The 23,365-nt window shown below is 41.0% G+C and overlaps 1 protein-coding gene across 14 annotated transcripts in view; it reads left to right on the top strand.

Annotated features, from left to right (window-relative positions):
- The window catches only part of CRIM1 (cysteine rich transmembrane BMP regulator 1), a 195,358-nt gene extending 172,323 nt beyond the window's left edge, over positions 1-23,035 (top strand). For 10 of the 14 annotated variants that reach the window (XM_011532898.4, XM_011532901.4, XM_017004258.3 and 7 more), the window contains 4 exons: positions 9,252-9,446; positions 16,276-16,398; positions 18,884-19,071; positions 20,425-23,035. In XM_011532898.4, coding sequence (XP_011531200.1) covers positions 9,252-9,446; positions 16,276-16,398; positions 18,884-19,071; positions 20,425-20,601 — 683 coding nt within the window. In that variant the 3' untranslated portion in view covers positions 20,602-23,035. Of the gene's footprint in view, positions 1-9,251; positions 9,447-15,657; positions 15,886-16,275; positions 16,399-18,883; positions 19,072-20,424 lie in introns of those variants that run through there. The other 4 variants (XM_011532899.4, XM_017004259.2, XM_047444643.1 and 1 more) reach the window with 2 other exon arrangements.
- Positions 23,036-23,365: the final 330 nt, after the last annotated feature.

Raw genomic sequence — 23,365 nt, forward strand, 5'->3', positions numbered from 1 at the left:
ACAATTTAAGTGTATATTGATTCAGTAGAATTGCTGCTCTCGTAACACAGATTGCAGCTGATCTGAGTAACATTATCAAATAGATTCTAGTGTCTCACTGTTAAATGTAGCGTCTGGCTTTCTACAAGAGAAATGCCTGGATATAACATCTCAGTGATGAGCTTTTCGAGGCCGAGAATATCTTAGATAATGCTTTGGCAGTGTACCTCATCCTGCCTGCTCCCATCTTAAAAAGCCCATGTCACTTTGGTCACTCCATCGTAACCCAGGTAGAAACAGTGTGCTTTCTGTAGCTCAGCTGTGTTGTGACAGGGCCTTGCCCACAAACCACACTGTTCTTTCATACCTCTAGACATTATCAGAAGTGAGAAAATAGGGCTCATTTATTTTGGTTTATGTTGAGAGGCTAGTCCCATTTGAAGAGTCTGAACTTACTGTGCATGATCCACTGTGATTCCTGGGAACAGAGTACGTGGCATTTATCATCAGGGCGCACCCTCATAGGGAGATGTATACCTCCTGCACATTCTTCAGTGCTGTCAGTTACTGTGGACCTACACGGAGGCCCAGGTTGTCACAGTTAGTGCTAAAAAGATTGAAACAAAAGATGAGAGGTGTGATTTGAAAGAAGGGGAAACAGGATGATTTTCTGTGTATTGTTTAGAGAGTATAAAAATGAAAACATTCTGGTTGTCGTGCACCATGCTAACTTTGGAACTGGTCTAAAGTTATCACAACAAAAATAAGCAGTGTTTGATTTCAGTTTGTTTGGGTCTTACCCTATGCCCTAGGAAGCAACTGATCTTGCTGCTTCCATAAGCAGCTTTCTCTTCTCACTTCAGTATCCTTTCCAGGCCCCCGGCTGTGTAAACAGAAATTCAAGTTGTTCTGGTTAACTTGGGAAAAACCCCTAAGCTGCATAGTCTTTAGGTGTGCTCCGCTCCAGCCCCACGTTCTTAATTTAAAGAGCTCTGCTGCACGGAAGTTAGGCTGCTGCACTGCTATTTCCAGAGAGATCCAACAGTATCTGCCTTTCTCTTATTTTGGTCCAGGAGGCCAAACCTGATTTTGTACCCTCTAGTGGTCAAGGATATGGGGGAAGACCCCATCACAAGAGGGCCCACCTGATAAGAACCCTCTGGAGACTGCTGGCAGAGTCTTCTTAACAGGACTTGGACTGTGACCAGATAAAACATCTTCTATAGGTGCAGAAACTGGCCAATCTGGAAGGTCCAATGGCTTCTACGTTAAGGTTTTCTTAACAAGATGGTATACCCCGACTTTTACATGGATTGCTTCTTTTAAGTCCTAAAAGAAGTTGTATTTCTTCCTCCTTATTTGGGCCACCTTGATCTTTAGTTGTTTCTGCCTGCCTTTTAAAATGACATTTTTATATTTCCAAAATGATTTATGTGAATAATGTCCATGTACCTGTAGATGCATCTTGGATTGTAGGCCCTACTATGACATGAGACCACATTTAAAGTTGAAAATAAAATGTTTCCTTCAACAACTATCCATGAAGTGCTTAATCAACCCATAACAAATGCTTAACACAAGGAGTAAGCTCTATTACTGAGAAATTGTGTCCTCTGCATGCAGTGGTTCTCAGCCAAAAGTGACTGTGTTTACTAGTTTGGTGAGATTTCTTTTTGTAGAACTAGGACTTGGAAGCCTGAGCAATCACCTATTTCTTTCTAGTATGTTGAAGAAATCTGATAGGCTCTTTTAACCTTTATAAATTACTTGCACTTCCTACCCTAAGAAATAAATGAAATAAAATAAAACAAAAATGGAATTCTAAGAAAAGCCTTAAACTGTGGCCAAATCTGCTTTCACAGCAATTAAGATTGAGGCAGTATGGAGAGGTAGGAGTCAGCCGACATGACAGCATGTACCTCATTTTTTTAAAAGAAAGATGGATTAAGATCAGATTTTTTTTTATTGGAAGCTAAAAGTTATAAAGTAAAATACCCAAAGATTTAATTAAATCAGTAAGCATTTGTTGCATTTTTAACCAGAATTCTTTAATCATTTCCTGACAGAATGACTGTGTATTAGATCTCTGCCTCATTGAAATTGTCTAGGCCCCCTGCATCTGTTTTGAGCAAGACTTCAGTTGAGTTCCATCTTTTCATTCTTTTACAGTCTGTAAAGGCCTGGTGAGTCAGCGCATTGAAAATCAGTCATCATCTTCTGTCTATGAGTTCTTAGTGGCCCGTACATTATTTTCTCAGATCCCTGCATCATTACAATTTCCATGTGTTTAAGTCTCTTCTTTATGTTTTTTAAAAAAACAAGTGAAGCCAGTTTCTCAAACAGGAGGTGCTCACATTCTATTTATTCTCCAAGTGTGGAGTTTGTGCCCAGCATGTGACCGACAATACAGAATGAAAAGCACATGACAAGCCAGGGATTTCAGTGTCTTGTTAGAAAGTGAAATGAAAGTGGTATTTTATTCCTTTGTGGCTTAGAGAGTGCTGTAATGCATTGTTACAGGTATAAACTAACATTTTTAGAAGTACTTCCCCTATTCTTGCCCAGGTCAGCTATGTCATTGGTAATACTTGGCTGCCTTTTCTACCGCTCCCCTTTCTAAATCTCATGTTACCCATAGTATACATGGGCCCTTTGTATGCCTGCCTAAATGACTTCACTGAAGTTTTCTGTAAATCCCTCAAACCTCAAACTTAAGAACCCAAACTGTAATATCATGTTATTAGCAGGACCAGCTGTCTGCGCGTCTTTTCCAGACACTGGGCTCATCCATTTGGATATGGACTCCCACAAAGCTGACGAGACCCTCTGGGTGCAGGAGCGTCTCCTGAGGACCAAGGCCTTGAATGCCTTGTTCACGTCTGCATCCCCAACACTTAGGATGACACTCGGGGGGCCTTGATCTCAATGTGTGGGAAGAACAAATGCCCCCGTTATAGTACTGTGTTGGCTTGTTTTGCAGTGAGACTTATTCTGAGATTAAGAGCTGCATTTAGCTTCTTGGCCACCAGGATCCCAGAGTAAATTACTTTTCAGGACTCTAAATAGTACGCAGGAGATTTGAAAGAACTGATGCAATTTCTAAAGCAGCCTGACTTCCTCCCAGGAGGTTACTCCCACACCAAGCCTCTGACTTCATGACCACCAGATTTAGAAATTGAAGTATCTATGTAAGAAGTTGCCTCCTAGGCAGAAATCAAGAAATCCAACTATAACATAGGTTAGAGTCCATTTTGGTTTTTATATCCTTCCACAGAGGAAAGAGGAGGAAGAATCTGGAGATGCGTTTTTGGTTTTTGGTTTTTTGTTTTTTTTTTTTTCCAGAGGCTCATGTATATCCTACATCATGGTCAGTTTCAGAGCAGGGCTGTGCCACCATCTCAGTGACTCCTGGAATACTAAATTGGATCTTTGTAGAGGAAGAAAATAACACAGTTCTAGATTTTCCCTAGCTGTTAATTAGTTTTATGGCATAATTAAAATAGCTCAGGAGTAAAAACAAAGTCCAGCCTTAACAGCCTGTTAAGTCTTCTTTTCTTATCTTGAAAAGAGGTAAGATAATGAAGTTTAAACAGTTGAAGAAGTTAACCGGAAAGGAATTAACATTTCAAGGCCTTGCCGCTTCTTCCTCCTCTTGTGATATGAACCAGAATTGAGGGAAAATAGGCAGGAGGGAACCCACACTGAATTTTCCAGACTCTACTGCTGAAAGACATTGTATATTTTTATTGTAATCATATGTGATGCAAGATAATATTGCTCATATCTGAATCCCAAAAGAAAAGAAGATGTTTGTCTGAGCATCCCATGAGGTAAGCAGCCCCATGGAAGGACCAGCTGCATCCAGCAAAGGGCTCCAGGTCCCTGACGTAGTTGACGGTGATGGCAGAAGTAAATCTTTGTATTCTTGCAGAGACTTTGTTTCTGAAAGAGGCCAAAAGTCATTTCAAACTGAATCTGACGGATAAGATAGGGGCCATAGCTGAGAAAAATAAGTAGCGAAGCCGATCTAAACCAAGGTGTAACTGTGAAATAGTAACCATCTTCTTTGCACGTTTCAAAATTGGCCCTGGACGCCATCGCAAGAGGAAAATTCCAAAGCTGTGCAGCAGCGGCAGTACCATTGGAAGAGTTTACAGCCTACCAGGACTACTTAGAAGGGGATCATGTTTATTTGGATATATAACCCCTGATTGGTTTGTTTTAAAAATAAACGTTATTATGTTAGTGTCATACCTCATGGTTTCCTTGGAACATTCTCCTCTAATCCTCTTTGAGAGAGTGGGAGGGAGAGATTGTGAGGGGAGAGAGAAGTGTTAAACAGAGATGTTCCTAAGGAGGACCAGGAATCCTAAATTACCTAAATAACCCACTTGGTTATCTCCACTCCTTGATAGCACTGTGTGAGGTATGATGCAGTCAGGTAAAGGACAATTTATCTTTGAAGACAAAGATAAATTCGAGTCCCCATTTTCAAGAGTCAGTGAGAAGTAACAGCTTGTTTGTGTGGCACTGATTGATCCTTGTCCGGGCAAGTGGTCCCTCCACAGGTTATCCGGCTTGGCACACAACAGACAGAGGTGCTGGCGGACTGTGGAACCAGACCCGCTGTGGTTCCCCTCCTCACCCTGCCACTTCCTAGCTGTGCATCTTGGACAACTGATTGAATCTTGTGCCTCATTTTTCTGTAGAATTGAAACAATACCCTGACCCATTGGGCAATGGAGATCAAATGGCATTGATGCAGGTAACATGCTTAACACAGGGCCTGGTATGTAGTGGGCATTCAGTAAGTGGAAGTTACGATTATTATTAGGTATCAAAGAACAAAACTTAATTGTCAGAATAAGCAAACCAGTTGGAATAATAAACGTAGCCTTTAGAGTTAAATGGCACAACCCTGATAGCCACACATAAACTGTTTTGGTTATTTTTCGTTGGATATTCCCAGTCTTTATTTCTACATCCCTCTTCAGGCTGAGTGCTTAAAATACATTTATATGTAGTCTCAATTAGATTATGCTGTTTCCCCCAAAAGACTACAGTGACTATTATTTTAATTTATAGAACCTCGAATTGCATGGAATAGCTACCACATCTCCCTTTAAACCTGGTAGCTTCCAAAACTTCCTGATGGCGTTTTCGCAAATGGGTCCCTATGTGTCATTGAAGGAGACAGTGTATCTAGGAAAAGAAATGAGGATACTGAGCAAGGTGTTGGTGGCTCATGCCTATAATTCCAGCATTTTGGGAGACTAAGGCAGGTAGCTAGCTTGAGGCCAGGAGTTCAAGACCAGCCTGGCCAACACAATGAGACCCCATCTCCACAAAAAAAAAAAAAAAAAACCCTAAAAATTATCCAGGCATAATGGTGCATACTAGTAGTCCTAACTACTCAGGAGGTTAAAGTAGGAGGATCACTTGAGCCCAGAAGTTCAAAGAGCTATGATTGCACCACTACACTCCAGCCTGGGCAACAGAGTGAGACCCTGTCTCTTGAGAAAAAGAAAAAAGTTATTGGTTTTCCCATTGCCTCCAAGGCATTCAGAGTGGTTGTTCTTTCTCATAATATCATTTTATAAATATTCTTTTAGACAGTGATCTCATACAGTTACTGAAAGAGTATTTACATAAACCCTGTATGCTGTAGCTCAGCATTTGATCTTTGATATTTCTTCTGTGGTTTTGATACATCAGTTGAAATTATTCTACATAGGTCAGTATCATTCAGAAAACACCACACATCATAGCCAGGTGCTTTAGGTCCACGCTCAGTCTAAGTTCTTCCCATCATTATTCTCGTGTGTGGAGAGAGGAAGGGAAGGAAAGAAGGAATGAAGGAGAGAGGGAAGGAAAGAGGGTGGGAGGGAAAGGGAAGGAAGGAGAGAGGGGGAAGGAAGGAAGGAAGGAAAGGAGGGAGGGAGGGTGAAAAGGAGAGAAGGAAGGACAGAGGGAGAAGGAAGGAAGGTGAGGGAGTGGGAAGGAGAGAGGGGAAAGGAAGGAAGGAGGGAGGGAAGGAGGGGAAAGGAGGGAAGAATGAGGGAGAGGGCAGGAAGGGGGAAGAAGGAAGGAAGGAAGGAGGGAGTGGGAAGGAAGGAGGGAGAAAAGGATGGGAAAGATAAGGAAGGAAGGAGGGTGGGGAAGGAGGGAGGGGGAAGGAGGAAAGAAAGGATGGAGGGGACAGGAAGGAGGGATGAGAAAGGAAGGAGGGAGGGGGAAGGAAAGAAGGAGAAAAGGAGGGAGGGAGGAGGAGGGAAGGAAAGAGGGAGGGAAGGGGAAGGAAGGGAGGGAGGGGGAAGGAAGGAAGGGAAAAATACAGACAGGAAGGAAGGGGACAGGAAGGGAGGGAGAGAGGGAGGGGAGGGACAGGAAGGAAAATATAGGCAGGAAGGAAGGGAAGGACAGGGAGGGAGAGAGGGATAGGGAAGGGAGGGAGAGGAAGGAAGGGAGAGAGGGAGGGACAGGAAGGAAGGGAGGAAGGAAGGGAGAGACAGGAAGAGGGAGGGAGGGACAGGAAGGAAGGAAGGAAAATACAGACAGGAAGGGAAAGGAAGGGAAGGAAGGAAGGAAATACAGGAAGGAAAAGGAAGACAGGAAGAAGGAAAAGGAAGACAGGAAGAAGGAAAAGGAAGATGGAAGGAAGGAAGGAAAGAAAAAAAAAAGAATATAGACAGTATAGACCACTGCTTGGCCTTGAGTCAGAAGAGTTATGGACAAGATGGAATGAGGAGTTTTACCTCCTGTCTGGTTTCTTTGTACGGTAACACTGTTACTCAAATTTTATTCAGTGATATTGCATTGTATGGGCCAAGGTTCATGTAAAATATAATCAGTGATACTGCTCTATCAAACATTGCTTCTTTTCATAAAGAATTCTCAGCAAAATAGACTCTAAATTTGATGGCCAAAACTAATGTCCTCAATGCAGTGTCCAGGCTCAGTCTAAGTTCTTCCCATCATTATTCTCATGTGTATGGAGAGAGGAAGGAAAGAAGGAATGAAGGAGAGAGGGAAGGAGGGAGGGAGGGAGGGAGGGAAGGGGAAGGAAGGAGAGAGGGGGAAGGAAGGAGGACAGGAGGGAGGGAGGGAGGGTAAAAAGGAGGGAAGGAAGGATGGAGGGAGAAGGAAGGAAGGTGAGGGAGGGGGAAGGAGAGAGGGGAAAGGAAGTTCAGAGTACTACTTAAATTAGGCATCATTGGATGATTCTGTTCAGCCAATTTGACACGTGCATTTTGGATACCTTAGTGAAGTCGCCTCTTTTAAGGATTCCATATTAATCAAGAACTTCTATCATGAGTTTCTTTTGAAAGCCTCCAAATGAGTTTTTAGCCTAATAACTAGTGTGCCAGAAAATTTCTGTGGAGCATCTACAAACATAGGGAAGTGCATTTTTTAATAGATACTGAAAAATTGATTTCTGATTACAACTAGAACTTTCCATGATTACTTAATGCCCCTTGTTGAACCTTAGACAGCAGTAATGAGAAAAATGATAGAAGTTGTTGACAACATAAGAGATGATGCATTTAACACTCGATCTCAGTTTCTTCCTTGGACTTGTTTCTAACACCCTCCCAATGGATTGAGATTTGTATCTGTGGAGTAAAAATTTTACAATATTAGGCCATTATTAGTGCCATTTATAAAGGTGCATATGCTTGAGTATTGTCTGCCCTCCTTATCCATAACCACAGATTGAAAATATTTTTAAAAACATACAAATTTCAAAATATAGTATAACAACTATTTACATAGCATTTACATCGTGTTAGGTATTGCAAGTAATCTAGAGATGGCCTAAAGTATACAGGGGGATGTGAGTAGGTATATACAAATACTACGCTGTTTTATATTAGGGACTTGGCACATGAGCGTCTTTGGATTTTGGTATCCATGGGGTCCTAGAACCAGTCTCCCAAGGGACAATTGTAATTGGTAAGAAGAAAATGTAGAGACCACAGATCGGTGAGCATTTCTGTCTGTGACCTTCCTCTGGAAAAGCTCAGTCTGAAGCACAAACTGGGTCTTCATAGAGAGGCACTTCCAGCTGCCTCAGAGCACTCGCTGCAAAGCTTCGGGCTGCTCAGAGAAAATGGCTCCTGATGCCATTATGGGCTTCTCGTCGTGCCCTGAGATGTGCTGGGTTCTGTTTCTTGTGTCTATTCAATGAATTCTGACCCTTCAAGAGCTTCCCAGATGCTTTCCAGGAAGAACCCTGGGCCCTGGGGACGACTGCCTTCCTAAGGAACTTTCCTTCTAGATGCCTTTGTAGTTTTTCATGTTTAAGTGACAAGTAGTGAGTGGCGCTGCTTGTAGAATCTGAACACAAAATGTCCCCGGATTAGTAGGTGTCATCCAGTTATCAGTCTCGTGCTCACACCCCCGCCACCGGGTTTCGATTTGCCCATCTCTGCTTTGCTGCTGGATCTGCTGGTCCTTGGGGCCTCACTCTGAACCACATTCTTGTGTGCTAGAGGGAAATTTCTGTGTGTGAAATGTGGCCACTAGGGAGTCAGTAAGTTCAGGTACACCAGGAAAAGGCGTTGAGTCCCAGAGAAAGGAACCTTCAAGGAGAAGCTTGGAAGAGGGAGGAAATGAGTGTGACAAGGGACCATGGGAAGAAGGAGCAGAATGTTTAAACTGAAATCCCTGTATATACTGTACAGACAAATAGCTCTTTTTTTCTCAAAAACCAGTTTTCTGGGGGAAAAAAATGGATTGCCATGAAATGAAGCTGTTTTTAAAGTAGAAATGTCCTTGTAGGTGAGAGAAATCTACGCAGCATCCCTGGAAAATGAAGGAAGTGGTTATCTCGGTGCTGACTCCCACTCAAGGGTTGCAGAGGAAACCTGCTAGTTCCTTGTGATGTTGCCATTATCACTCCTTACCATTCCCCTGTATTGTTTACAAAACAGGAACTTCTTGAATCCATCTCTGTAAATAAACTCAGCTGGACTTTTTATCAATCTCTTTATCTCTTTCTAGATGACAGTCTAAGGACACTTATCTAACAGGTACCATTCCCTGCCGGTTGTGGTAGTGACCACCCTGTGCTAGCCTCAGTGGCCACAAGATGAGAGCCCTGAGGGTCCTCCTAAGGAAATGAAAGACTAGGGAAACAAAAGTTTCACCAAGTTCCAGAAGTCCTAAAGCATACTGTGATTATACAAAGCTATCCCTTGATCTCTCACGTCTAATAAGATCGTGTGCGTTGTCACATCAGCGACTCCATCATGTGCTGTTCTTTTCACTAGAAGACACAATTCCAAAGAAGGTGGTGTGCCACTTCAGTGGGAAGGCCTATGCCGACGAGGAGCGGTGGGACCTTGACAGCTGCACCCACTGCTACTGCCTGCAGGGCCAGACCCTCTGCTCGACCGTCAGCTGCCCCCCTCTGCCCTGTGTTGAGCCCATCAACGTGGAAGGAAGTTGCTGCCCAATGTGTCCAGGTATCTAAGCCACCATCCTTCCATTTGTCAAGCTGTAATGTTGATTTAAGATGAAATCGAAGCAGAGCTCGACCTGCCCCTTCTTTCATTCGTTCACACGGCCCAAGTAGCGTGTCAGGCCCAGTTAGCGCCTCCACCCAAAGACCCTATGGGTAACTTGGAAAACTATGACCATCCCGATGAGGGGCAGATTTTGGTTCCATGCCAGAATTCCTCGGGTTCTTTTCTTCTCATTTGCATTCTCTAAACTTTAGTATAACCAACCTGTTAATGACACCTGCCCTATTAGACTAGCACAGTTTTAGTGCAGTGTTGGACTAGCCTAGAGAAGATGGTCCAAGATGGGACCCAGAAGGGAAGATGCTTAAAAGCCATTACACTGTGAAAATATATTAGAACCAAAGTGGAAGACCTGCATTTAAAGAATATAGTTCTGGTTCATTCTTTTTTTACTTCATCAGTTCCAGCCAGTACCCATACCATCCACGCAGCCTTCTCCCAAGCCCTCAGCTGAACTGCCCATCTCTTTCCACACTTAACGCAACCACTGAGTGTACCCCAGCTGGCTGTTGTGAATCCCCATGCCTACATCTTTCCCCACGCCCCACTCTTTGTGTCTGCTGCATTATCCCTCTCATAGTTTCAAACCTAAGTCCTTCTCAGCTGCCCAGAGCCTCACCTAGCCCTTCTCCTAGTTTCCATGCCTGCATCTCCTGCCAAACAATTCCTCTTTCCCCTGCGTCTAATCCCAGAAATGTAAGACCTGAGCCCTCTCCCTGGGGACTGACCCCTAGACACACAGATTTCCCGGTGGTATAGACCACACAGACCCAAGTGAAGGCTCACTCTAAGATCTCATTGAGGTCCTCAGCGAGTCAGGAGCTTTTCTGTCTTACCTCGATTCTCATGTTTTCTCGCAGCATTATATTAGAGAACCTTGTTGTATTCAATACAGGGAGCTGGGAACCATGCCAATTCACAAGTGCATCTGTACTATGCAGTTGTAAGATAGGGCAGTTGTTAAACCCAAAGAGTTTAAGTGAGCTCTGCACATGTTGGCCTTTTGTTTAGGCGTTGTGCAGACTAGCCCCAATTGAGCATTTCTAAAAATGTCCATTTATCTCCTAAAAAGGATAGGATGTTCTGCAAGGTAAGGGGGTGGAACCATTTTTCAGAGCCTTCAGTTGGGTTCTCTTTATAGTTTTCCATATACACACTTGCTGTGTATATGGAAAAAGCAAGTCTTAAGTGCTTTAAATGAGAATAAGAAAAAATATATGGTTTTCCACTGGAATTATTTTATCTAGTGTATATTCACCTATGTTTCACAAATTTCATACCAGTTTCCCCAGTAATATGCTTTTAATGATATAAATGATGAAACTTGACCTTATTTATTTCACGAAGAGTCATTTAATGCCTTTTATGTGCCAAGCACTGTTCTAGGCACTGGGGACACAGCAGTGAACCAAATAGCAGTGCACACGGAGCTTACGTTGTAGTAGGGAGAAGCCAGGCAGCTAACAGGTAAACAGTAACTAGGTAGCCACCAAGATGGGGATCCGGCTCTGGAGAAAGGCATAGCAAGACAGAGAGGCTGGGGAGAAGTGGGGCAGGCAGGTTGTTTTGTATTATGTAGAATGGTCAGGGAGCACCTTACCAACAAGATGAGATTTAATGAAGAGACCCAGAATTGCAGTTCTCATGGGGAACAGGCAGAACCTCTGGGTATAGCCAGCGCCAAGGCCCTGGAGTGGGAACGTGCTGTGCGTGTTCAAGGTAGAGCAGTGTTCAAGGTGCATGTTCAGGAGGAGCTGTGTGGAGGTAACTCAGTGAGCATGGAGGAGGTAAGAGGTGGGGCAGAGAGGCAGCCACGGCCAGACACAAAGGGTCTCGCAGATGAGTGCAAGATTGTATTGAGTGAGATGAAACCTTGGAAGGTTTGGAGCAGGGAGCGACAGGATCTGACTTACCTTTGAATGGGATTTCTCTGGTGCTGGGTTGAACATAGACTGTGGGGCATGGAGGTCAATAGTGAAAGCAGAGAGACCAACTTGGAGACTTTTTTAAGAATCCGGGCGAGAGATGACAGTGACTTGGACAGGGTGGTAGCCGTGGAGGTGGGGAGAAGTGGGCAGGTTCTGACTATGCCATATGAGTCGCATCAGTAGGATTTCAATGTATGCGGGGAGTGAGTGGAAGAGGAGCCAAGGATGACTACGACATTTTGGTTTGGGGCATTTTTAGCTTGAAATAGTCATTCAGCATCAAAGTGGAGCTAATGAATAGACAAATATCTAATCTGGGCTTCAGGAAAGAAACTGAAAGTAGATCTACAAATTTGAAAGTTTAGCCATAGGTGGTTTCTAGTCTCAAGGTTTTTAAGCCTTGAGACTAGATGAGAGCACCGAAGGGTAAGAATAAATAGAAAAGAAAAGAGAGCGCAGGACCGAGCCCTGAGACCTTCTGACTTTTGGAGACTGAGCAGGTGCAGAGGGCCTAGCAAAAGAAATAGAGAAGGAGCACCAGGAATAAAGGAAGAAGCCAAGAGGGTCAGTGACATGGAAACCAGGTGGAGAAAGGGTTTCTGGTAGGAAAGAGTAAACTGCTCAATCAAGCGCCACTGTTAGCCACGTAAGATGCGATGTGGGAACAGACTTGTGCACTTAGCACTGCTGTAATGAACTTCACAGAAGTACAGTGGTGGAGGCAAAGTCTAATCAGAGTGATTTCAAGAAAGAATGGGAGAGGTGAATTCAATTCACCTCTCCCATTGCGAGTTATGGTTATGCAACTCTCATGCAGACCATAAGTGCCAAGTTCATGAATAAGACAGACTGTGAAGTTGAGGGTCCTTGGAGGGTTTCACAGAGAAAGGACATGAGCTAGATTTTAAAGGACAGATGTGCTGTCTTCATTGGAGTGAAGAGGATAACCCAACCAAGACCTGAGATGGGAAAAGTCAAGGCCGGTGCCTCTAAGGTCAAGGCCAGTGCCTCTGGAGCAGTGAGTTTTAGTAGCAGTAGGTAAGGACAGAAACAGTAGCTTTGGCAAGGATTTTTCAGGCCTTAATTATCAAATGAAGAGTGTAGATTTTGTTCTTTATAGGGAATGGGGAGGCTTATTTTTGAGCAGCTGAATGACATGTTCACAAAGATGTTTTGGGGTAACCTTTGTGTAACAGGGTGGTGTGCAGGAAGGACTAAAGCAGAGAGAGACCAGAGGCCAGGACAGCTGTAACAGGCACTGCAAATGTCCTCGGTGTGATAACAAGGACCCAAATTCAGGTAGTGGTGGTAGAAATAGAGGTCAATTCATTCTCCTTGGTTTGTGAGTTTGATAAGAGAGAGTACAGATATTGCTAACATCCTTGTTCATCATTAGAGATTTCTCCAGTGACTTCTCAGTTAAGATTTACTATTGGGTTGAAATTTAATTTCTGTTAACTCTCCTTTCTGCATCTGCTGTATTCCTGATGAAACATTTTTCTATCTTTAAGCAAATACTGCAATCAGTTGAGCTTTTGCCACCTTCTGTTTGATCCAGTATGGGCTGCCAGGAAGGCTGTATTCCTGTCCCATTCTTGCATCGGTTCATTGTGTGATCTTAGTCAAGACTCACCACCAAAGTTTCACGCTTCCATTTCTCATCTGGATAGCACATGCCACCTCCCAGAAATGCTGTGAGGATTATACCATCTCAGAAATGATGGTGTGGGAGCACTTCCCGGTCTGTCCAGCAAACAAGAACCTTGCTTCTTCCTTTAGACATAGCAACTAACATTCTGAATATCCTCTTTCTTTACAAAACAGTTTCACCTTTACCATCTTTGGATATGAGTACAGAACCTATGAGCTGTTAGGTGATTAGCACCTGTCTCTTTACAGAAGAAACTGAGGCTCAGGAAAGGTAAGAGGGTTATCCGAAGTCATGGAGCTGGTTAGCAGAGGATGAGACCCCTGCTCCTAAATTGACCTCAGGTTCCATCTCCCAAAAAAATGCTGACCTCAGCTTGTAAGCACCAAGCACCTCGCCCCGTATTCCAGAAGAGGACATTTTAAGGAAGGCAACTCTTAGAGATGACCAGATGCCTCTGAAAGTAAAATATATCCCCAGTAAATTATCTTGAGTTCCTCCAAAGCGCAGGTCAAGTATGAGCACAGGAGCGATTGTGACCGTGTGCCCGTGATCTTCGTGGTAGGGCTGGATGTAGCTTTGTGTAAATCTCCCTGGCACTGTCCATCTGTAATGCCAACAGCTGTAAAGGGCTCTTCTAGTAAATACCAGAAGGGTTATATTTTAGAGTCTTGGGTTGAAGGCGGTCTTTGGCCATAGAAGGCGGCCTGGGTCTAGGCGTGGAAACAAATAGCATTCCCACTTCTTTTTGTTTCAACAAGCAGTTTTTTAACTGAAAGAATTGTTCTTTTTGGCAAAACTGCTCAGAGGCAGCTTCCCTTTTATGTTCAAATTAAAGGGAAATGACTCTCTTCCCTTGGACTTGAGGACTGTGAACTGGAGCTGTGCGTGTTCTGTGATAAAGAAGGAGGTGTGGGTGGATTTTAATCAGAGCTGAACTGAGTGGTGGAGTGAGCTAATACACAGGACAGGTTATGAGCTGCTGGAAGTAAGAAGTGGCTGTCAGGCATCACTCATCAGGAGAGACCCATGGGGGCCAGGATTGGTCTCACTCAAAACTGTATGCCCAAAACCAGTGCCTGCCATGTAGGAAGTGCTCAGGAAATATTTGTTGAACAAATGGTAATACAATTAATCACTGAAGAAGACATCCTCCTTCACCATAGACAGATCCTTCTAACTTTCCCTGCTGTTTCCAAGTAGAGCCCCTGTGGGAAGAGGACTCACTGTCATGCCTCAGCTTGGTGGAGTTTCACCGGAAATCTACCCATATGCAGGGTCAAGGCAAAAGAATTCCAAAGTTACGTCTCTCCCTCTCACTCAGGAAAAAACCTGAGGTGGAACTGAATCAATCCCAGCTCTGGGGCCTCTGCAGAAACTTTTACTACTTAGCCATTGACATTTACAGGTTTGTTGGAATTGGTGTCGCATTTGCCCTTTACACTGAGGCCTCAGAAACCAGTGGCAGTTCGGCCCCTATTGTCATAGGAAGGCTCAGTGTGAAGCCCTGGACTAGGCAGGGGAGGGGCAGAAGGGTGTGTGTGGCACTGAAAGGTGTCAAGTAAATGGCGACATGGCTTTTCTGCCCATATTCACCCAGGAAATTCATACCACACATGAGAGTTTTTCAGTGGGTGCATTAAATACCATCCCCCTGCACACACCTCCCGGAATCACCTAGTCCAGACCTACCGAATCAGGACCTGTGAGAGTCAGCACATTTTCTAAGCTCTTTGGGTAATTCTGATATGATTTTTAAAAATTTGAGAGTCACTGGTTTGTGCTCAGGCCCCTGCACCTGCAAATGGTAATGTTTTCAGTAACTTCTATTTTTAATTCTCGAGTTTGCAGGGATGCACTGAACCTGTAGAAACTATAATTGTTCCCAGTTCTTTTTATGTTTAAAGGTTTTATAATATAACTAAGAAAGCAGAAGACTATTCTTGGAGGCAACAAGATAACTTGGGCTTTGGAATCACAGAACTGCATTTGAATCCCAGCTCTACCACTTACTAGATGCATGATTTTGAGCGATTTAACTTAACCTCTCTGGGTTTCTTTCCCTGGCTGGGTACCCAGTTAACTCATGGGGGAAGCTTAGCAAGTACTCTCTTCTCTATCACTTTCCTCTTCTCTCAAAGTCATCTTAAGGTTTACTTCTCAAAAGCCTGTTAACTTTGAGACAGAAAACAATCACTCTGAGCAGAGGGGATTATTAATCCTATTTTAATTTATATACTTATACTGTATATTTTATGTTGGTCTAAATTAGGCTATGGTGAGTATTTAGGATCCTACGTGTTGAGTAATTGCTTTATAAAAAAATCAGTGAATAATATGGCAGGATCTGCCCGAAAGGAAATACGTGCATGACACAAACTTTTATTGTCACATTTTGAAAACAGGTTCTGAAGAATTAATTGCTTTAAAATGTGGGGCTAGTTGTCGTTAGCTGGATGAAGTATAAATACAAAGAAATATTTGTAGGAGCTGAGAAAAGTTCTGATTTTTTTTTTTTTTAAAAAGACCTGATATTTGAGATAAATAATATTCTTCTGTTTGTTTTATGTTGTAGTATAATACCTATCTGATCAAACTGGATAATGTAAATATATTTACTGAAGATCAGCTTCTAATCTAAATGGTTCCAGTGGTAACATAATGGACATCTGAGACTTATACTCATGAGGTCTACCTACAGTCCATTCCCATTTAGGGGAAGAGAAAGGAGAGGAAATGGCCAAGAAGTCCATAAGAAGTGGACAGTGCTTTAACTTTTTCAAGTTTTGCTAACATATTTTATGTAAGTTATTCAATACCCCCATATTAAAGAGCAGCAGCTATTAAACACCAACATTTATTAGCTGCTGGAAAGTAATAAATAACTTCAGCTAGTCCCCTTCAGTTTCCATAAAATTATAAAACCAACACCATTTGACGTGAAAAAGCAGTTTTTGACCCTGGTGGAGTAGAGAATTCTTTCATCTTTTAAATGTTATAAGACATGTTTCTCCTCACTGCAAAGCTCGTGATTCTCTAGCATGAGTGATGAATGATGTAAATGGCAGAAACTGCATCTTTCATGTCCCAGGAAATGTGGTCTTGAATTGAGTGCACCATTTGGATTGAGAATACAAAAGCCAACAATACAGCAGCTTCATCATCTCTTAGGAAAAATGTTCCCTTCTTTTAGAAATGTATGTCCCAGAACCAACCAATATACCCATTGAGAAGACAAACCATCGAGGAGAGGTTGACCTGGAGGTTCCCCTGTGGCCCACGCCTAGTGAAAATGATATCGTCCATCTCCCTAGAGGTAAGCATTGAAGGCAGCTGAGATCTGCTAGTTTTCTATGTGGTCTACTTAGGTGTTTTCTAATTTTTAAAATTTCCTATGAGTAACTTTTAAAATGACTTGCTGAAGTAAATTCAAATAACTATTCCCGGGCAGACCTGCTTGGCTGAAACATATTTACACCACACATTGATAAAATAAGTCAGCAGGTAACTGGATTAAATGCCTCCTTCCTGGCCCTCTGTGCTCAGAGACTTTGTGATGACGGAAATAAATGGAAATAAATATGTTCCTAGTCATAAGAGCCTGGTATCTGGAACTTCTAAGCCATCTCTCAAACGTATGTATATATAAACTTTGTAAGGAGAGTAATCATGAATTAGTCACTGTCTCTTGTAGATTCCGCACTGAGCATTTGTACATTAGGTTACCCTCTACTTCTGGGCAGTTTTCACTTCATGTGAGCTAAACTTATCACCTATGTTGATTTTTCTAGTCACCAGGTTTACTCCATGCCTTTTTATCTTGCTCTATCCTTTCAGTCTGTGCGTAATAAAGATGTTATTTTGTCTCCCAATAGCTGTCACTATTTCCTTTTCTATAAAAGTAGACCTCTTCTTGATCAGTAGTATAAACTTGCTCTTAGCCGTGACTCAGTACTGCCTCCTGTGTCCTCCAACCATATTTTCCAAATCATTGCTATATAACTTATATTTCTTTTGGAAGAAGCAATATTCATTGCTTGAGAGAGATTAATTGTCTGTTACTCTAGATATTCTAAACGTTATGCTTGGATCAAACCAGATGACCAGAAAGTCAAATTCCTGGACCTAGTGTTTTTGGCTCTCTGTATAATTGTTCTGAGTGTGCTTTAGCATTATGCTTACATTCATTCAGTCAGTAAATATTAGTGCCTGCTGTATGCCAGACCCTGTTCTAGAGGCTAGACTTCAACATACTGTAAGTACGACTATTCTTATGACTGAAGACCTGTGCATTGCATAGTATCTATGTTATAAAGCCCCTAAAGAGAAATTTTCTCATGCATCAATAGCAAGAAAATGTATGCTTCTCCTAGGCAACTGATTTGTTTTAACCTAAAAGACATTGTGAATCGTATTAAAGACTGATAGTTGTTTCCGTTTTTGGCTTTGGCTGCTACAAAGCTCAAAGCTAACTTTGATGGCTTGGTTTTAGCACAGAAACAGAACTGGAAGACTGAATTTTGTAAACAGACCTCACTTGCAGCTTCATTTTTCTTTCACCAAGACCTTCCTTAATTTATATCTTATTCTTCTTGTATGACACATATTCCTAAAACTGCTTTCTATTTGATTTGGAATATGGGAAAGTAAAATTCATTCTTTTATTCATTGTATATTTAAAATCTGAATTCATCAATAAAATGTTACTCTTTGACATTTTTCTTGATGCTGGAAAATATGTTTCTATAAAGTTTTATTGCCATCTGCACTGGCTAAAATGATTAGGAATGTTTTCTACCTCCCATTCCTCCCTGCTCCCACCACCCCTCCAGAACACACACAGAAGCATATCATTTAAAATCTGAGTTTTAAACCACAGTGTTACATACCACAAAGCTCTGTCACTTCATGAGCTGAATTTCCAGAACAATTTAGGAGTAACTCCTTTTGATACTGTGTGTCATGTGTCTTTAACTAAATTGATTTTTAATGCATTTAGAAAACCTGACTACAATGATTTATTTGAAACAAAACAGAATATAAAAATAAGGAAACTTTAGGGAGTGCCCCCTATTGGTATGTGTTTAACCTTATTTTTGTCTGCAACATTCATTGTAAGAGAGATATTTTAAAAGAACATAAAGGTCATCATTCATAAGTGCAAAACTAAATGTAGTCACCTATGCGATATAATTCATTAAGGCAGAAAAATGATCTAATAGGCCTAAGCAAGATTTTCAACAAGTTTATGAAAAGTAAGACAATATTGCTTAGAGTTCAGTGAACCAGAGTATCAACCAAAAGACCAACTTCCTGATTGATTAGTTTTAATCTAATTAGTCTTAGCTATTAACACTAATTAATTAATAGTAAAAGAACATACTTTGTTCTAGTCTCCTGTTTGCCAATAAATCAGCTAATGTTTCTCCTTCGAAATCTGAGAAGACCATGTATGTTAACAGTAATCAAAATATTTTCATGGTCTAATTCACTTTTTCAAAATCTACCTAAGCACCTTCTTATTTCCTTGATTAGCTAGAGCCGGCATCATCTTACCCAATTATTAAGATTCTCACTCTGATTTTTTTTTTTTTTTTTTTTTTTTTTTAACATTCATCCCTAAGCGCTCTGCTCTCTACTAAGAGCTCTTTGGATCAACATTAGATTTTAATCACATTTTTAGCCTCAAAAAACTGGGAAGCAATAAAACCAAGTTGCTGATCTCTATTTGCAATGTCATTAAAATAATCCTTAACAATTCTGGTTTAGGTAATAAATGCTTATAATTTTTTTTCTCCTAGATATGGGTCACCTCCAGGTAGATTACAGAGATAACAGGCTGCACCCAAGTGAAGATTCTTCACTGGACTCCATTGCCTCAGTTGTGGTTCCCATAATTATATGCCTCTCTATTATAATAGCATTCCTATTCATCAATCAGAAGAAACAGTGGATACCACTGCTTTGCTGGTATCGAACACCAACTAAGGTACTGTCTTGCAAAAGTTAGTCTCTTGAATGATGAATCTAGGAAAACTTACACTCATATTGAAATTGCTTGAAACCTTGTGTCTTAACCAGTGAAGTTTTTACTTTGCTCTTCATAGCCTCAAATCCATACCAGGCTATAGTATGAATCAAATACATAGTACTTGCCCAGGGCTGGACTGATCACAAGGTGAATTATCCATTATCCATTGGTTAATGAAGCCTAACCTTACATGGATCCAGTTTTCTCGATGTACTCTGAAGTTTTCAAATGAACAAATACTCCTGGATTTATTCCTAAATCATTGTTTATATTAGACATTAAAACGTGATCACCTGGCATTTCTTAGTCATCAGTCAACTTAGAATTGGGAGAGAAAAAAAGTCCCAAAGGGATGGAGATAATACTCAGGAGAGGGCTGGAAGATCATGAGGGTATACAAAAGGCAAAAGGAACAGGTCAGTGCACCAAAGGCAAGCACCAAGTGGAAAGGTCGCAAAAGATGAAGAGGTGGTGGAAAGTAATAGTAGACAAGGTAGGGAGAGGCAGATTTCACACTAAGGGAGAAAAGATGTATGTTTGTTTTCAGTACAAACATAAAGGGCCTCTAAATCTGCCTATTTTGAAAGACAAGAAAAAACTGTATTAATTAAGGGAAATAAATCATAATCCCTTCCAACTCTAATTCTACCTTTTGCCTTGAGTTGGTTTATTTTAATCATAAACCTTAAGAATTGGAAACAGCCTGAACAATTATGTAATGTAATTTACCATCTGGTTAACCCTTCCATGTAAAAATTCTGTCCTGCGGTTATCCTGCCTCCGATTTTTCTTTGAACAAATGTACATTGGGCACAGCCTCTGTGCTGGGTCAGGATACAGTTGCCAGTGTCCAAAGCTGGGAAACAGACCCGCTCATAAAGTGTATGGAGTGACTAGCAACACACAGGCTGGCCCAGCCTATGATAGTGTTGTACAGTCTGAGTGGTTAGAAGTCATCCCTTTGTTTTTAAAATCTGCCTACCTTCCACTCATTCTTCAGCCCCCTTGAAACACAAGGTCTGCACTTCAAGGATTTGAAATCATTTCACCAGTCTTTTTTTTTTTTTTTTCAGTTCCTTCATCTCCCTATTTGACAGTTTCTTGACATTTCACCTTAAAATACAGTTTGTCAGTGTCCCTCATAAAAGTATAGTTGGTACTAGAACAAGATGTGATAATCTGCATACAGGCTATCAATCAATGAATTGTGAAACTGTTATCTCACCTGAGTTAGGTACTAAATTTCTGTTCATTTGAGATAATGTAAAGCAACTAATTTTTTGTGGTTTTATTCCTCCTCTCATTAAATAGCCTTCTTCCTTAAATAATCAGCTAGTATCTGTGGACTGCAAGAAAGGAACCAGAGTCCAGGTGGACAGTTCCCAGAGAATGCTAAGAATTGCAGAACCAGATGCAAGATTCAGTGGCTTCTACAGCATGCAAAAACAGAACCATCTACAGGCAGACAATTTCTACCAAACAGTGTGAAGAAAGGCAACTAGGATGAGGTTTCAAAAGACGGAAGACGACTAAATCTGCTCTAAAAAGTAAACTAGAATTTGTGCACTTGCTTAGTGGATTGTATTGGATTGTGACTTGATGTACAGCGCTAAGACCTTACTGGGATGGGCTCTGTCTACAGCAATGTGCAGAACAAGCATTCCCACTTTTCCTCAAGATAACTGACCAAGTGTTTTCTTAGAACCAAAGTTTTTAAAGTTGCTAAGATATATTTGCCTGTAAGATAGCTGTAGAGATATTTGGGGTGGGGACAGTGAGTTTGGATGGGGAAATGGGTGGGAGGGTGGTGTTGGGAAGAAAAATTGGTCAGCTTGGCTCGGGGAGAAACCTGGTAACATAAAAGCAGTTCAGTGGCCCAGAGGTTATTTTTTTCCTATTGCTCTGAAGACTGCACTGGTTGCTGCAAAGCTCAGGCCTGAATGAGCAGGAAACAAAAAAGGCCTTGCGACCCAGCTGCCATAACCACCTTAGAACTACCAGACGAGCACATCAGAACCCTTTGACAGCCATCCCAGGTCTAAAGCCACAAGTTTCTTTTCTATACAGTCACAACTGCAGTAGGCAGTGAGGAAGCCAGAGAAATGCGATAGCGGCATTTCTCTAAAGCGGGTTATTAAGGATATATACAGTTACACTTTTTGCTGCTTTTATTTTCTTCCAAGCCAATCAATCAGCCAGTTCCTAGCAGAGTCAGCACATGAACAAGATCTAAGTCATTTCTTGATGTGAGCACTGGAGCTTTTTTTTTTTTACAACGTGACAGGAAGAGGAGGGAGAGGGTGACGAACACCAGGCATTTCCAGGGGCTATATTTCACTGTTTGTTGTTGCTTTGTTCTGTTATATTGTTGGTTGTTCATAGTTTTTGTTGAAGCTCTAGCTTAAGAAGAAACTTTTTTTAAAAAGACTGTTTGGGGATTCTTTTTCCTTATTATATACTGATTCTACAAAATAGAAACTACTTCATTTTAATTGTATATTATTCAAGCACCTTTGTTGAAGCTCAAAAAAAATGATGCCTCTTTAAACTTTAGCAATTATAGGAGTATTTATGTAACTATCTTATGCTTCAAAAAACAAAAGTATTTGTGTGCATGTGTATATAATATATATATATACATATATATTTATACACATACAATTTATGTTTTCCTGTTGAATGTATTTTTATGAGATTTTAACCAGAACAAAGGCAGATAAACAGGCATTCCATAGCAGTGCTTTTGATCACTTACAAATTTTTTGAATAACACAAAATCTCATTCTACCTGCAGTTTAATTGGAAAGATGTGTGTGTGAGAGTATGTATGTGTGTGTGTGTGTGTGTGTGTGTGCGCGCGCACGCACGCCTTGAGCAGTCAGCATTGCACCTGCTATGGAGAAGGGTATTCCTTTATTAAAATCTTCCTCATTTGGATTTGCTTTCAGTTGGTTTTCAATTTGCTCACTGGCCAGAGACATTGATGGCAGTTCTTATCTGCATCACTAATCAGCTCCTGGATTTTTTTTTTTTTTTTTTCAAACAATGGTTTGAAACAACTACTGGAATATTGTCCACAATAAGCTGGAAGTTTGTTGTAGTATGCCTCAAATATAACTGACTGTATACTATAGTGGTAACTTTTCAAACAGCCCTTAGCACTTTTATACTAATTAACCCATTTGTGCATTGAGTTTTCTTTTAAAAATGCTTGTTGTGAAAGACACAGATACCCAGTATGCTTAACGTGAAAAGAAAATGTGTTCTGTTTTGTAAAGGAACTTTCAAGTATTGTTGTAAATACTTGGACAGAGGTTGCTGAACTTTAAAAAAAATTAATTTATTATTATAATGACCTAATTTATTAATCTGAAGATTAACCATTTTTTTGTCTTAGAATATCAAAAAGAAAAAGAAAAAGGTGTTCTAGCTGTTTGCATCAAAGGAAAAAAAGATTTATTATCAAGGGGCAATATTTTTATCTTTTCCAAAATAAATTTGTTAATGATACATTACAAAAATAGATTGACATCAGCCTGATTAGTATAAATTTTGTTGGTAATTAATCCATTCCTGGCATAAAAAGTCTTTATCAAAAAAAATTGTAGATGCTTGCTTTTTGTTTTTTCAATCATGGCCATATTATGAAAATACTAACAGGATATAGGACAAGGTGTAAATTTTTTTATTATTATTTTAAAGATATGATTTATCCTGAGTGCTGTATCTATTACTCTTTTACTTTGGTTCCTGTTGTGCTCTTGTAAAAGAAAAATATAATTTCCTGAAGAATAAAATAGATATATGGCACTTGGAGTGCATCATAGTTCTACAGTTTGTTTTTGTTTTCTTCAAAAAAGCTGTAAGAGAATTATCTGCAACTTGATTCTTGGCAGGAAATAAACATTTTGAGTTGAAATCACACAGTGTAACTTGCAAAAAGATTCCATCTCTGAGATCCGAAAGACTTTTAAGGTTATCAGTCCAATGAACCCCTGGTGTAACAAGAAGTCCCGTGCTTTTGTCATTAGGCGGGTCTTTCCCAAGGTATCCTTGCAAAAAGAAAAGTGTCTCCCAGAGTACAGAGAATAGCGATGCTGTTTTTAGGGAGACAAGAAACCTACCTGCTGTCAGAAACGTGCTCATAGCTGGTATCAAAATTAACTTGCTACGCACAGGAGGACTGTGGTGGGAAATCCTACAGTGGTTCGATGCTGAAGAAGAAAGACTTTACCGAGCACGATCAGGGGAA

Source organism: Homo sapiens, chromosome 2 (assembly GCF_000001405.40).
Source record: "Homo sapiens chromosome 2, GRCh38.p14 Primary Assembly".
Taxonomy (NCBI): domain Eukaryota; kingdom Metazoa; phylum Chordata; class Mammalia; order Primates; family Hominidae; genus Homo; species Homo sapiens.